The sequence below is a fragment of the Homo sapiens genome, chromosome 4 (assembly GCF_000001405.40).
Source record: "Homo sapiens chromosome 4, GRCh38.p14 Primary Assembly".
Classification (NCBI taxonomy): Eukaryota; Metazoa; Chordata; class Mammalia; order Primates; family Hominidae; genus Homo; species Homo sapiens.
In genome coordinates, this window is record NC_000004.12 from 185,620,670 (window position 1) to 185,637,122 (window position 16,453).

The 16,453-nt window shown below is 38.3% G+C and overlaps 1 protein-coding gene across 42 annotated transcripts in view; it reads right to left on the minus strand.

Moving 5' to 3' along the window:
• The window catches only part of SORBS2 (sorbin and SH3 domain containing 2), a 370,850-nt gene that overhangs the window by 35,147 nt on the left and 319,250 nt on the right, over positions 1-16,453 (minus strand). For 31 of the 42 annotated variants that reach the window (NM_001394255.1, NM_001394267.1, NM_001394264.1 and 28 more), the window contains 3 exons: positions 9,880-9,929; positions 6,163-6,350; positions 2,245-3,825 (listed from right to left, as the gene is read on the minus strand). In NM_001394255.1, coding sequence (NP_001381184.1) covers positions 2,245-3,825; positions 6,163-6,350; positions 9,880-9,929 — 1,819 coding nt within the window. Of the gene's footprint in view, positions 1-2,244; positions 3,826-6,162; positions 6,351-9,879; positions 9,930-14,685; positions 14,743-16,453 lie in introns of all 42 variants that reach the window. The other 11 variants (NM_003603.7, NM_001394276.1, NM_001145671.3 and 8 more) reach the window with 3 other exon arrangements.

Here is a 16,453-nt window from a genome sequence, read left to right on the forward strand (position 1 = left end):
TTCTCCTTCTGCCTTACTCTCCCCTCTTCGCTCTTCCTCTGTTTTTAAATACTTATTGAATCTCAAGATGCCATGCTGTTTATCTACGACCTTCCTTTGTGCCCAGATGATAAACACCTTATCAGAAAGCAAAGAAACAAAGAGATATTGTTTCTTCTTACTCCAAGCAAAAAAGGGATAAACAGAAAGCATCATGTCAGTTGCCAAATTGCTTATGAAATATTGAATTATTTTTGTTCATCTTAAAGCAAAGCATAAATAATCACATTACAAAATTTTGATTGCATGTAGTTCTTAATAGTATCTTATACCTTTTGCACTTACGTGACTTACATATGGAGATGTAACTAGACATTAAATGTATTCCAGTAGTCTATGTTATAGAATTTTATCAGTACAACTGGGTCAATATTTGTCAATTCTTTCTTTTATCCCTTAAATATATCTAGTTATCCAGACTAACAAGAAGCATTAAAAATAAAATTTATTTTATCCATCTATGAAAGAATTTAAAGTGCTGATTCATAATAAGAAAACATTGTTTTAGGATTTTGACTACTTTGATGATGTAAATTCTAAGTTAATATACTTTTATGATCATAGGGCCTCATAATGATCATAAATTTTAAATTACTTTTTCTAACCCAGGGAATATAAGCTATTTTTCACTTGGGTGAAACACAATTGGAAAGTAAATATTTTACTAAAAAACAAAATACTTTTAAATGCATTTCAAAGCCCTTCCAAGTTACGTTTCAAAAATGTACTCCTATCTGCACATAAAATTGAGAGATGGTTATATTAGGATATTAAAAGCCTGGAGAAGGTAGCTAATTTATTAAAAAATGAGATTCTGACACATTTCAATTAGTGAAAATTTTGAATTGTAGAAATTGATTTTTTAAATTCTAATTTATTATTTTGAAGCATGTTGCTTCAGCCTAAGGGTAGGCAAAGATAAACGTAAGTGTATAGTGTAGCAAAAGTGAAAGCAAACATAAAGACTAAGTAGATTTGTGCAAGTTAATTAACAATCGAGCCATATTTGACACTAGTATGAACTGTGAATTATGTCTTTTTTTTTGTCTGAGATTATATTTTATACTATAAATTCTGAATTATTAGGGGTTTGAATCTCTTTTCTGTTATCTACTCTCTGTGTGACCTTGGACGAATTTCCTTTCCTCTCTGGGCCCAACTTCCAAAATTGAAAATGGCTTTTGAAATAACACCCATTTCATAGGCCTATGCCAGTTTTATTAGATAATGTATGTAAAGCACTCTGTAGTGTCTGGTGCATAGAAGTTTCTCTGTTGACCAACTTTCAGCCCGGAATGTTCATTCCAGCCTCTTAAAATTTACGTAGTGAACAGATGTGCTGTAAGAATTAATGAAAATAATTGGTCACAAATATTAAAACACCCTGGGCTGTAAGTTATATAAATCTCAAAAATAGTCCTCTGCCTTTCAATTGCTATTTATTCTTGTGTTGCCACTTCAAAGTTATCTATGAAAATAGAGTTTAGAGTCACTGTTAGCCTGAATAGTGTAATTCAAATTTCAATACAGGACTGTTTTAGCAGAAAGAGAAAGTGAATGAATTAAGTAATGGAAAAGAGAAAATGAATACACTAAATGGTGGAAATGGGACTTTTATATATATAGCTTAAAGATACATTCACAAAAATTTTATCACCATTGTGTCCTTGAAATGGAGAAAGCTATTAAACAAACCCTAATTTCTTTGTGTCCATCAATTACTAATCACATATTTCAGTTTTGCTTCTTGAATGTTTTGATATAGTATCTTCTATATAGAATGTGACAAATTATTTATTAACTGAATGAATATAAAGTTTTAACGTTAATATAAACATTTTTAAAAGGCTATTTGTGGAACTATAGGTTTTGATTCATGTCACAACGTAATTTATTGTCTCAATGTGAGTAGTGGTTGTTTCAACCCTAATGCTGAGCTACAAAATGGCCTTCCCTCTCGTTTTCGAAAGAGTAAATTTTTGTGAATTGATGATCACTTTAAGCCACACATCAAGTCCAAATATCACATGGGCAAATGAGAAATATTCAGTAAGACATATTTGCACAACAAGTTTTTGCTTCACAACACATAACGACGCCAAATGGTCTCCCAGCTCGGGAGTGATGAGATGTTGGAATGGAAAATGAAAGAGCTGGAGGGTGGGTCTCTGAACCACAAGGAAAAAGAAAGAAAAGCTCATCCACCTTGGAGTGCACCGCCACGGTCTTGGTGGTGGCAGCTGCTGTTGGCTGTGTCCACGTCTTGGAAAGAGGCACTGCGGGGCATTCTCCCGCAGTCATTCTGGTAGGGTGGACAATGAATAGCACCATCGGGAGGCAGTGGGTGGAGAGGCTGGTGCAGGGGGCTCCTCCTCAGCGCTCTCAGGGATGAGTTCCTCTCGGGAACATCTGGCAGCAGCTCACTGATGAGGCGGTGCAGGATGCTGTTGTCCGGCAAGCTCCCCCTTTTCTTTTCAGCTTTAATTTGGTCACAGATGTCTTTAAGGGCAGAGTCCAGAGCCTCAAACACAGATGCTTTACATTTTGCCTTTTCAGTCTGTTTCTTAGGAGCCGAATTTTTTTTCCTCCGGAAAGGCACAGGACTGACTAGAAAAGCAAGTTTAGAAAGGCCAGGGTCCATTTCTTGCCTTCTGGGCTCCTCGGTGTTTTCGTGTCTGGCTCTTTCGTGTTTTAACATTGTGGTAAATCGAGTGTAGGAGGCCGGGCACCTGCCTTTGCAGGAGCTGATGAGGTGGCGGTGGTGGTGGTGGTGGTGATGGTGGTGGTGGTGGCTGGATCCGTAAAAGCTTTCGGAGGATGTGAAGGAAAAGTGATCAAAGTCACTTTCACTGCAGAAGGATGACCCCTCTAGGTGAATGTAGTCACTGTGGTCGGACACAACCCCGTCCTGGTCGCTGTCGGAAAACTCCACGTGTGCTCGGGGCTGCTCATCGCTGGTGACTTCAATGTGAATGGGCACCAGGGCGTTAGACTGGCAGCCTCGCCGGCCCCGAGCGGGGGGGCCGCTTTGATTTTCTTCCTCCAGCAAATACTCAATGGAAAACCGCCTCTTGGGACATAGGCCATTTTGCGGTGGTTCTAGGGTTACGGGAGACAGCATGTCATCCCCTAAATTTGGCATGGATTTGGACTTCTGGATCAGCTTTTCGAATTCGGAGATGCGTGTGGGCACCATGTCCCGGGGCACCTCCTCCGTGGAGCACTGGCTCCAGGCGCGCAGCAGGTCCTTGTGCTGCTGCTCGCTCTCGTACTGCAGAATCCTGGACTTCACGGAGCAGATCACCTCGGAGTTCATCAGGTCCTTGCGGTTGATGCGGTGCATTTTCTTGTACATCTTCAGGAACCCCGGGGCGTTGCGGGCTGACCTGTGTCTGATCCTTGATCTGCCGTTACTGCGAACCTCCGGGACGTAGGGGGACCCCCACGCCATGGGGCAGCTCTCCTTGGAGTCCTCCTCACATAACAGGGAGCCCATGCTTTCCGACTTGACTTTCGGGTCCGGGAAGCTATCGCAGTCGTCGTTTAGGAGATCGTCACAGCTCCGGGATTTGATTTTGGGAGAGACGGTTTCTTCCGTGCTGCTCCAGATTTCTGCGTTTTGCCGGGCCATTTGCCAGCCGTTCTTGAAACTAATGGCTCTTGGTGAGTCCCGAGGGACATCCAAGTGCTGTCTGTAAGTGCTACAGTAATCTAACTCACTGGAGGGGTTGCCGTTGAGCCCTGAGTAACTGCAAAGGGATGGACATATTTTGCTATCATCCCCACCTTTTAATCCAGAGCAGCGTGGTAGAAGAGAGACATTTGGAGAAGTTAAAAGGTTCACAAAGAGAGGAGAGCATGTCAGTAAAGCATCAGACAGCATAGCAAGGAGAAAGCAGTTAGTGTGTTTTAATCTAGGTGCTGATTGTTCACACATGGAGCTTCAACTCTAGAGAAGAAGGTCTAATTCTAAAGCGAGCTAATACTTTTTCAGTGAATGTAGCTTTGCAGAGAGAGTTGACAAAACTGTGTATAAGAAGCAACCGACGTAAGCAAATACACCTACTCCTACTGCATAATTCATACACCTTTCTGACAATATTGTTTGCCAAAACACAATAGTGCTGCTTCAGCTGATAGCATGATCTGGTAGTGAAGGTTTAACAATTAGTGTCAAAAGTGTTATACCCTTACGCAATTTAATAGGGCCGGAATTTGAGCCTCATTTGATTCGTAATGATACATAGGTGAAGAAGGGTTTATACATTTACATCGAATTAATACTCTCATGACTATATCAAATAATTTTTTGTGGGTTTTAGATTTTAAAAGCTATAAGGCAAAGTATTCTCCAAAATTGCAAAATCAAAATGCTGTGAACTATTGCTGCTAACATTTTTCTAGAAAAAAATAGCTAAAGCTCTTTAAACAAACGAATTTACCTCTTAAATTGCTCTACCTTTAACCTTTTATTAGGTACAAAATTCTCATAGGAAAACTGAATATAATGCAAAACTTTCATCAGAGGTGCATATACCATGCTTTTTTTCTCGGAAGAGTTCTTTGAAAAATCATTTGCAATTTGATAATAGAGATCTACATTTGGCCTCAATTTTGAATAGCTATGGAAATGTTCTTTTGCTTTGCTGAGTCAACTAATAAATGAGGAGCCAAATTATATCTAATAGGACATTTTCTTCCTAGAAATAAAATCTAATGGAGGAAAATATCTCTATTCAATACTTATACCTTACAATGTTCTCTAAATTCTTTAAAAGTAGATAAGCACATTAGGTAGATCTGTACTGTCTGGGAAAGGAAGTTGATTTAACATTCCCTGTGATGAAACAAATATCTACATTTATCAGAACCCTTTTAACTTTTGGCTAGTATCCAAGAATAATAGGTCAATGGCATTTCATGACCTACTTGTTACCTTAAGATATTCATTTGAATAAGTGAGTTGAATCTGATAAGGCATCTCTGCTCCTCAGAGGAAAGATGTGATGGATGGGGCTCACACGCCCTGAACCATCAGCTGATATCACAGCTTTACAAGGCCTTAAAAGGGCTAGGCATCCACCTACTCAGAGTCCAATCATCACGACCAGAATACCTTTTGCACACAAATCAGCTACCACTTTTAACTACCATGTGGCAATGGTTTTAGTGACTATAGTTGATAGGTGTAGCTGAATTGGTCTGGTTTTATAGAAACTTACATTAGAGCTCAATTTCTTTACACATTTCAAAATCTCTTTCTCTTCTCTTTCAATCCCAAGATATTAGAGGAGATTGTGGGGTCCCACATTTGGTAGAGCCCTAGCTCCCTGTAGGGGCTGGTTCAATCCTCACTCTCCATCTCAGAAATATTCCTGTCCTCAAGGAATACCACTAAATGGTCTTCCAGAAACCAGAAGGAGTGACTTCTTTCAACAGTGAGCTCCCTACACTTGCAGAGAGGAGACGGGCCATCCAGAAAAAAAGGCTTGGTGATTCCTCAGTGATATCATTATGGTTTGGGACCAATTAGTCCTGACTGTGAGCTGCTGTGAATTGACCACTGTGTTACATGGCAGGAGGTGGATGCTCCACTGTTCATGTGAAGGTGGCCCAAAATATACAGCAAATGGCTAAAGAAATTAATAGGTCGGATTTTTTTAAAATCTAGAATTGAATAATTTTTTAAAACCCTCCAAACCAATGTATATTTTAGCCAACAATTTGCTCTGTTGCTGCTTGTAATTTTTATCCTATAAATTTGACTAATTTGCTAGTTGTAGAAACATTAGAAAATTTTGACTATATGTCAATGTTTACAAAATACATCTTTTAGTAGCCTGATGATACATTATTTGATACTTTCAATTTGTTTAGAAAGGGATCTATTTGGGGGAAAAAAGCATTAGCAGATGCTAGTCAGAGTTCTTTAAGCAACCTAAGTGGCTCGCCAGCTTGAGTCAGTCTGGGTGGGAAGAAGGCTATTGTTCTAAAACTATATTTTATTCCAGACACTGTAGGTGAGAGCTGGCACATGCCACTATCACTGGGCCAGCTTTCACACAGTGCTCTAGGCTAAAACGTAAACTAGTAAATTGTTGTGTTTTCATTTACTATGCTCACCTTTTGCTCTTGATGGGGAAGAAGGAGAAGAGCTAGTGAAAGACTTTGTAAGAGTGGTGCTTGATCCTGGGAGGTCCACTCGGCCTGGGCTAGTCCTGCTCGCACTTTGATCTCCCAAGCCCCGTGGTGGACCCACTGCAGGCTCGCTCTTCCTCCGCTTCCTGAAGTCACTGGCCATGCTTGCAGAACTGAAAGAAGGAATCAGATCTGTTTGATTGGCACTGGAGGAGGTTCGGGTGTGCACCAGAAAAACCGGTGGAACGTGCTAGTGACAATGGCGTAACTCCTAAACCTCTATCCCCAAAACTGCATTGCTAGGAACTCATCCCTTGATGTTCAACATGATTTCTCTAGAAGGATCTTTTAAAAAATGAATAGACCTTATTATTTATTTTGAGATGGCTTCTGGCTCTGTCACCCAGGCTGGAAGCGCAGTGGTGCAATCACAGCTCACTGCAGCCCCAAACTCCTGGGCTCAAGGGATACTCCCGCCTCAACCTCCTGAGTAGCTGGGACCACAGGTGGGTGCCACCTCACCTGGCTAATTTTTTTAAATTTGTTATTTATGTAGAGACAGAGTCTCACTATGTTGCCCAGGCTGGTCTCAAACCCCTGAGCTCAAGTAATCCTCAAGCCTCAGTCTCCTGAAGTGTTGGGATTACAGGCGTGAACCACTGTGCCCGGACAACTAAATTTTTTTAGGGCAGTTTTAGGCTTACAGAAATAATGACTGGAAAGTGTAGAGAGTTTCCTTATAGTCCCTTTCCTCTTGCACAGTTTCCCTTATCATTTACATATTCTTTTGGTGGGTACATTGTCACAATTGATGAATCTTTCCTGATGCGTCGTCACCCCAAGTCCATAGTTTACATTTGAGTTCATGTTTTGTCTTAAACATTTTAGGGGTTTTGAGAAATGTATAATGATGTGTGTCCATCATTAATGTGTCAATCATATAAAATAGTCTTCCCGCCATAAAAAGCTTCTGTCCTCCAGCTTTTCATCCCTCCCTTCCTCCCGCTCATCCTGGCACCCACTGATCTTTCCACACGGCCTCCACAGTTTCGCCTTTTCACCATGCCCAGTTGATATCATGCAGAATGTGGCCTCTCAGGTTGGCTTCCTGCACTCGGTGATACACTTTTAAGGCTCCTCCATGTGTTTTTTGTCACTTGATAGCTCATTTCTTTGTATTGCTGAGTCACATTCTATTATTACATGGATGCGCCACAGTTTATGTATCCATTCACCTATTGAAGGACATCTTGGTTGCTTCCAACTTCTAGCAATTATAAATAATGCTCCTAAGAAAACCACCTGCTGGTTTTTGTGTGAACCTAAGTTTTTAAACATCTTTGAACGTCAAAATTCTCCTATAGTGTAATATGTTGATTGAGAATTCAGTGCTATAATTTGTATCTTGTATCTTTTCTCTATAAAGCGGAGTTCTAACAACATGAATATATCCAGAGGGGCATACCAAATACAGGAAATAACTGAAAAAAAAAAAAGACATCAAGAGAGGAAAATCTCTCTCACCTCAAGGGTTGCCTGCAGCTTGTCCTATCATCTCTATCATCTTAGCTTTAGAAGATGTTATATTGGAATTCCAACATTTTTTATTTAAATAATGAATGAAGGCTGAGTATGATGGCTCACGTCTGTAATCAAGTACTTTGGGAGGCCAAGGCTGGAGGATGGCTCAAGGTCAGGAGTTTGAGACCAGCCTGGACAACCTAGTGAGACTCTGTCTCTACAGAAAATAAAAAAGTTAGCCAGTTGTGTCATGTGCCTGTAGTCCCAGCTATTCAGGAGGCTGAGGTGGGAGGATAGCTTGAGCACAGGAGTTTGAGGCTGCAGTGAGCCATGATTGCACCACTGCACTCCAGCTTGGGCAACAGAGCAAGACCCTGTCTCATCAGTCAGTCAATCAATCAGTACCAGTAATCTGGTCAGCAAATTAACTATTAAAGATTCCTTCCCCTCAGTTGCATAAAATACTGTCAATAGTCTAGAACAGCAGGGAGTTTCTGTCATGGTTTTGAGTTTGAGTACAGTATCATTTAAGACCAATGTTAATGAATGAAGCCACATATGGCACAGCACACTGTGCATGAAATCACTGGATTCTTAGACAAGACTTGTGTAGACAACAGTGATAATAGCAACAGCAGCAACCCCAGCTCCTATGGAGCCCAGCAGAATGCTATGTGCTTTCTTTATGTTTTTGTCTTATTTAGCCCACACAGCAAACCGATGAGGTATATGCTGTTATCTCAGTTTTACAAATGGTAAAGTGAATACATGTGTCTGGGATGTACGGAAGCAAGCGGAGAGGCAGACCTCAGAACTGGTTTGTCCTCTTCTGAAGAGGATGCATCTCCTAGACCTGTTTTTGCTGGGACTGTCCTGTCATGTGAGGGTCTGTGTGTCTTTACGGCAATCTGTAGATTAGATTAAAACTCTAAAATTCAAATATTTTAGGTGCATAGATAGAGGCAGAAGATAAAAAGGAGGGGTTCCAGAGTTCCTTTCTCAGGGATGTTATTGCAGTTGGATGGCACTCAGAAACCCAATTTATGATTGACCCAATTCACAAAGAAATCTACATAGAAGGGTAAATTAATGCTACTAGATAAATATTTGTTATTGATGTTACAATATGGCTGGGAGTTTGTATTATTCAATATTACTATTGAACTATGTCTGAATATGTCTGAATTTTGTGATTTGTTTTTTTTTTTTTTTTTAGACTGAGTCTTGCTGTGTTGCCAGGCTGGAGTGCAGTGGTGCAATCTCGACTCACTGCAACCTCCACCCTCCCAGGCTCAAGCGATTCTTCTGCCTCAGCCTCCTGAATAGCTGTGACTAGAGGGGCATGCCACCATGTCTAGCTAATTTTTGTAGTTTTAGTAGTGATGGGGTTTCACCATGATGGCCAGGATGGTCTCAATCTCTTGACCTCATGATCTTCCCCCCTCAGCCTCCCAACTGCTGGGATTACAGGCATGAGCCACCGTGCCTGGCCATGAATTTTGTAATATTTTTTAAAAAGTGTGATATTTAAAGCTAATGGAACTTACTTCAGGCGAACTCTGAGGGAAGTTAGGCCTAGCGGTGACAAGCTATCTTGCCTCAATTTCTTTTTTTTCTCTCTCCTTGCCAACTGTGTAAACTTGGTAAGTTACTAAGCCTAGGTGTCACTTTCCTCAGAGATAAAGTGGGGACAATAGTATTTAACCATAGTGTTTTCTTAGGATTGAATATGTTTTGTACTTATGCCTCATTTATTGGTAGTATTAATAACAGTATTTCTGATTTGTGTGGTCAAAGTATGATTAACAAATACGTGTATAACACTTTTTAATCTATAATTTTTTTCAAATATATTATTATAAGGGCCATTTAACAACATTGAAAATTAGTTACTTATAATTCCCATCTAAAGAAAAGAAAACTGGGTATAGGGGACTAAGGGAAGAGAAGGATTTCTCAGTCTGTGAAGGAATTTATAATTAGTTCACTAATTTTTTAGAAATTCTTGAAATGATCATATAAAATGATGCTGAAACAAAATAAAACAACTTCATGAGGCATGGTACTTCAAATAAAAATGAGTGATACATGATACTCATTACTACTTCACTGAATAATTTTATTGTTGAAAAAGAAACCACTGGTATAGAATATTCTGCTACAACATAATAAGATTCTTACCTCATGGGTCTTTCCAGGCTTCTGTCTATAGAGGACTGATACAAGGAGGCCTGTTAAGATAGGATAATAGTACCATGAAAAATTTTACCGTGGCAAAATTTTGTTCACTTGTCAACATTAAATTAGGTATCCTAAAAAGAATATTATAAAAATTGAGGTTGAAAGTACCATTCATTATGACTATAAAAATGTCTTCCCAAAGAGAGATCATGCGACCTGATTTCTACTTGGGACCTATCTGCTTTCCCTTCTGATATAATGCATTGCAGTTCTCTGTGTAGCTCAAATTATCCACAACCCAAGCATTGCATGGGGGGAAATTAATAATATTTTCTCAGGGACACTGAAATAAGAGCTAAAGTTATCCTACAGCCTGAACTGCAGAATCTTACCTGTTGACTGTAAATAGAAATTTCCTACAGAAAGGAATGGTTTGATGTTTTAAAAAATTTGTAGTCATCATTCAATCCTTATAAAACATCACATTTTAAAGTTTTTGTTATTGTTGTTACCAAGTATTGTCTTCAGAATGTAACACATAAGCAGAACTTAAGACACCATTCATCTGTCAACATAGACATGACGTTTAAATAAAACCCACAGAGTTTGACTTGAAGAAACTAAATAAAGTACCTGGTACTTCAATCAGGTAAATAGTTATACTTTTACAATTAGGTGAGTTCAGGGCTAGTTTAAAATAAATGAGCTAATGAAGCAAAATATAACTTTTTTAAAGTGCGCTTTTAAATTTTTCCTTCATTCTGAATAATACACTGAAATAGATAGTAAGCAAAAATGATAATATGAATTTTTTATTTTCCATGGCATCTGCTGGGATAATTGCTAAAATATCTAAAAGGCAAGAGAGGACACTGAGCTATCAAGTGTTTGAGGTGACACTGTGGTATGATGTCCAGAAAGCACAGGGAGATGGCTGGGTGCAGTGGCTCATGCCTGTAATCCCAGCACTTTGGGAGGCCAACGCGGGTGGATCACCTGTGGTCAGGAGTTCAAGATCAGCCTGACCAACGTGGTGAAACCCTGTCTCTACTAAATATGAAAAACGAGCCAGGCATGGTGACACATTCCTGTTATCCCAGCCACGCAGGAGGCTGAGGCAGGAGAATTGCTTGAATCTGGGAGGCAGAGGTTGCAGCGAGTCGAGATGGCGCCACTGCACTCCAGCCTGGGCCATGAGAGTGAAACCCCATCTCAAAAAAACAAAAACAAAAAACAACAAAAAAACAAAACAAAACAAAACAAAACAAAAGTATAAAGAAAGTATAGGGAGATGTATACCAAGTATAGATAGTTTTGCCTTTGGTCATATTTGATGATCAATTCATCACAGATAAAATTTGGTTTGATGAAGAACTGGAATTCTAGTTTAAAAACATTTGTCTGTATGAAAGCTTAAAAATGTCAGCCAGAAAGGCAAGGTTTGACAAATGTTGTCTTAAGTTGCCATCATCTAGAAACATTTTATCAGAGTATTAAACATCTACTTAGTGGAAATCAAATCTCACTTTACAAACTATTTCTATAACTCAGTTTTCTATTAATTGGTAAATTAGCACCAATTAATCAATTAAAACAATACAATTTTGCAATTCTGTATGTATATCAGTCTTACAAGGTCCCTTTTGCATAACTTACGCTTCTATTAACTAATATTTTAATTTAATTCTATCTTACTAAATGAAAATGGAATCTTGTCTAGAAACAAAAGCATCTCTGCATGAGAATATTCCCATCCTCCTTTTAGACAGAAAAAGTGGATTGTAATATTTTTAGTTCCTAGAAAATATTTAGATTTCTAGGTTCTCAACAAATATAAAATCAGGAGAAAAGTTTGGTTTGCTAGTCTGATATGTGTACATGGTTATTTTAATTTGCTGAGCTCTGAATCAGACACTGGGAAGGTAGAAAAATAGATACTAAATATGAAAGAAAGCAAACAAGTAAAATAAAATCAGATCGTTATATTACAATTAAGAAATATTAATTCTACTCGTTTGCAGAAGAGCGACACTGAAGAGCCTGAGAGCATCGGCGTCTGTGCAGATCACGGCTTTCGTGGGACACCCTCACACACAGCTGATCACCAAAAAGTGTGAAGTTCACAACACTCTTAGAACAACCCTACAGTGATCAGAAAATTTGAATTGTCAACTTATAATGAGCCTAAACAATATTGTAATGTGAAATAAAACATAGTGTAAGAACTGATTGTGTTTTAGGGTTAGGCTAAGAAACTACTATTTCTCCTTGTACTGGTTTCTACATTCAAAATAAATGAAAACCAGTTTTGCGGTTTCATGTACACTCAGAGAAAGTTCAGTATTAAATTGTAAGATAAGAGTAAAAAATCTAGATTGATGACTGAGAGAAAAACTTGTACAATAATTGTAAGAAGTGTACTCATCCCAAAATGAAAATTATCTCCAGAAAAGAGGTTACAAATTTTACCAGTTATGATCTACTATTTACATATTACCATTATTTTAACACACTTAGAAGGTCAATTTAGTGAAGTACAGATACTGAATCACTCTTTCTGTTAAGTAGCTATGAGATTAAATTTTGCTTAAATATCCGTAACTGTTCTTCATTAATGCCAGTTTTCCAGTTATGGATTAAAATCTATGTTATTCATGGTATATACCAGGCAGTTGATAAACGGTAGCTAAGGTAATGTCTAATCAATTACATTTGTTTTTACCAGAAATGTTTAATAACAAAAGGTTATTAAAGACAAAATCCAGAACCTTAAGAGAATATATTTTCTTACATTCTGAAAAACTATAATGTGAAATTAATAACATAGTTAACATATGCTATTAGAATCATACAGCACCCCCTCTCAATCCCAGAGATAACTGGCAAATAGATCAACTACTGGCAAAGTGCTTTTTATGTGTTGTTTTTTTTTTTTTGCCACTACCATCACATAATAGAATGCATAGAGTTAAGTTTCTACTATTTTTATGCCCAAGAATTATTGTGTAATATTAATTAACAGAACTCTTTTCACAGGAATTCAATAGTTAACAAGAAATAATATTAAGTAAGTAATTTGTTTTTAAAAGATTTATCCTCTAAATATATATCTTGGAAGTGCTGAAAAGTGTGATATAAAGGAAATAGCACAGAAATGAAGGTTAAGAGAGATATATTTTTTTTTCTGCCACTATCTTACCATGTGATTTTGGACTTATTTCTTAAAATTATTGCACTCTACTTTTTTTTTTAACTGAAAAATGAGTGAATTGGACATGATGCACTCTAAATTCCATTTCAGTTATCTATGAACCAACTACCTTAAAAACACCCTAGAAATATCTGAGAAAAATATCTGACCACATTGAATTTCAAAATAAATTCTTGGGTTGTTCATATGTTGAAATAAGACTCTTTCTGCAGATATTAAGGTAACATAACATACAGAATATAACCCCTTGTTTTATTTGATTTTCTTCAGATTACATGCCTGCCTGCCTGGCTATAAAATGTAAGCCTTTAGAAATAACTGAATTCAATAACCCAGAATGTTCCTGATTACTCTATTTTACCTTTTATTTAATATATAAATATTTTGATCACTTCTCAGTTTTAACACACACTCTGATGTTTACCACAGGGTAAATAATTTGAAATTGCAAGTTGAGACGCTAGAAATTTGCATATTTTCTTGAGACTCTATACCTGCAATTCCAGTGGTCACCACTATGTGTCAGTAGTACCTCCTACAACACAACGGTTCTACTGGTTGTGTTTCCCAGTTGCACATATTTAAGACTTTTAATGAAAATAAGATATTTATTGTGTTATAGTATTCACTTAAGACCACAGAGCAACTAATGTGCAAAAAACAGTTTATTTACTTCGTTCCCATGCTAGTTGCTTCTAAGAGTTCCTTGCAAGGAGGCTTTTATATAGCTGATGGCTAGCAAAACAGTGCCATTTCTGCTTGTGTCTTCTAATGAGTCATTTATCCACTTTCTAAAGTAATTTTCTGCTTTTCTTTGCAGAGAGCAGGTTAACAAGCTTTTGACTCTGAATCATTTCTGCCTGTATCATTCTCTCTTTCAAATAAAACTCTGATTCAAATAAAAATATACATTGGCTGCCATAAATTTTTCACCTAGTTGATTATTATAGGCTCTTAAGTAGAGATTGCAAACGCATTTCATTTTATATGCCAATGATAATTTGTTATAGTGGCTGCCTGGATTACAGTGTTGAAAAGGAGTAGTCATGTCTGTCATGGGTATGAAACTGGGAAGTTGTGATACACAATTTCCAGGTATTTGCCAGCCCTATTCTTGACTGATAATACAATCCGTAAGTTGTATTTAGGAAAATGAAAGAACAAAAATAAATTTTAGAAATATATGGGACATAGGCATCTGATTATCCACACTCCAAGCATTATAATAGAATGGTTCTAAGAAGCCTTCTTGTAGTATTTTACTCTGTCTCATAAAAAGAGGTGGTTAATATATGCACTAAGACTAATACTTTTGATTTTTAATTTTCACGCTGCTGAATACCAGAACTACATAGAATAGTATAACTAGCAGTTGTGGTTGGAATGATTCTTCACCCAGAGTCCAGAGATAGCCAACAACTCTGGTATAATTAATGTCCAGGCAATGATACTGGATGCAACATAATGATGCAAAGATAGATATTTTTTCAAAAATAGCTTAGACATTACAGAGAATTGTAAAACACAGATGTGCAGAATCACAGTCACAGCCTCTAAGGGAGATATCTGAAAAAGAGAGAATAACGTGTTTTTACCTCATTGAAAACACCAGAAGAATGATCTTGAACATAGTCCAGAGGCTTTTTAGGAGGCTGGGTGTAGACGCACCACAGAAGCAGAAGTGTAGGGATGGAATGGAGGAGAGTCAATGGCAGCAAGGAATGAACATGTGGAAAAGGTGACAACAGTTAGAAATTGAGTGTTGACAGCACCAGCTACACAAACAGAATGACATGAATGGAGCAAAATGGGGGCAGCTGGGAGGAAGTGTGCAACGTCTGCAAATATTCTCAAGCACTGGGAAAATTGGCTAGTGTTCAATTAGTATATTTATAAATTCATTTTGTCAAATTTCATTAGCACTCCTAGTCTCTGGCCACAGAGGAATGCAAGGTAAATTAAAGAAACATTAAAGGAGCAAGTGGATAGCATGCTGGTGAGTTTCCATGTGTGACTGAAAATGATTATGGAAAATGCTGATAACTTAGGCTCAGTACAGAATAGTCCCTATAAGCTTTCTTTTTGAATTATTTTATTTTATTTTATTTTATTTTTTTGAGACAGGGTTTCACTCTGTCACCCAGGCTGGAGTGTAGTGACACCGTCTCAGCTCACTGCAATCTCTGCCACCAGGGTTCAAGTGATTCTCCCACCTCAGCCCCCTGAGTAGCTGGGATTACAGGCGTACGCCACCATGCCCAGCTAATTTTTGTATTTTTAGTAGAGAAGGGGTTTCACCATGTTGGCCAGGCTGGTCTCGAACCCCTGACCTCAAGTGTTCCGTCTGCCTCAGCCTCCCAAAATGCTGGGATTACAGGTGTGAGTCACCACGCCTGGCCGTCCCTATAAACTTTCTAACCAACAGCAACAATACATATAAAATAAAGCTAGAGAATGTTTTTCCTTGAAATAAAATACATTTACATTCACACTAAGATACAAATGAGAAAAAATGAGAGAAAACATTCCTCCTATGAGATAATAACCCTAAGAAAAATCCTTTGGTTTATATTCGTTTACAGTCACTTTTGATTCAGTTCAATAAGCTACCTTGAGTCTAACCAAGTCTCCTTTGCAGTTTAATGGACAAAAGAGACTACCATCACCAATCAGTAAACCATATATGGTCCATATGCAAGTATATAAATCAGCATATGGTATAGAAATGGTTATATCCTGATTTCTAAAAAAACTATCAGTGTAATTGGTAGGTTATTTAAGAGTCTAAAACGCATAAAAACGTGTGTAACTGACACACATCAAATGCACTGCTGTTGGTGGATACAGTTCCTAATCAGGGAAGTTGTTAACTGAACCTCCAGTTGACTATTTTTTTTTTTTTTTTTTGAGATGGAGTCTCACTCTGTCGCCCAGGCTGGAGTGCAGTGGCGTGATCCCAGCTCACTGCAATCTCCGCCTCCCAGGTTCAAGCGATTCTCCTGCCTCGGTCTCCCAAGTAGCTGGGACTACAGGCACCCGCCACCATGCCCAACTAATGTTTGTATTTTTAGCAGAGACGGGGTTTCACCATGTTGGCCAGAATGGTCTCAATCTGTTGATTTCGTGATCCGCCTGCCTCGGCCTCCCAAAGTGCTGGGATTACAGGTGTGAGCCACCGTGCTCGGCCTCAAGTTGACTCTTTATCCCAAACAGGCTAAGCAATAAGGCCCAACCTCTGGGCTTCCTCTGGCGGGAGTCTGGGGATTAGAGAAGCTGTGATGGCTTTCACTAGCAAGTCTGGAAATTAAGATCCACAGGACTTCCTGATTTTTTTCTTTCCTTATATCCCTAATGGTAAACTAG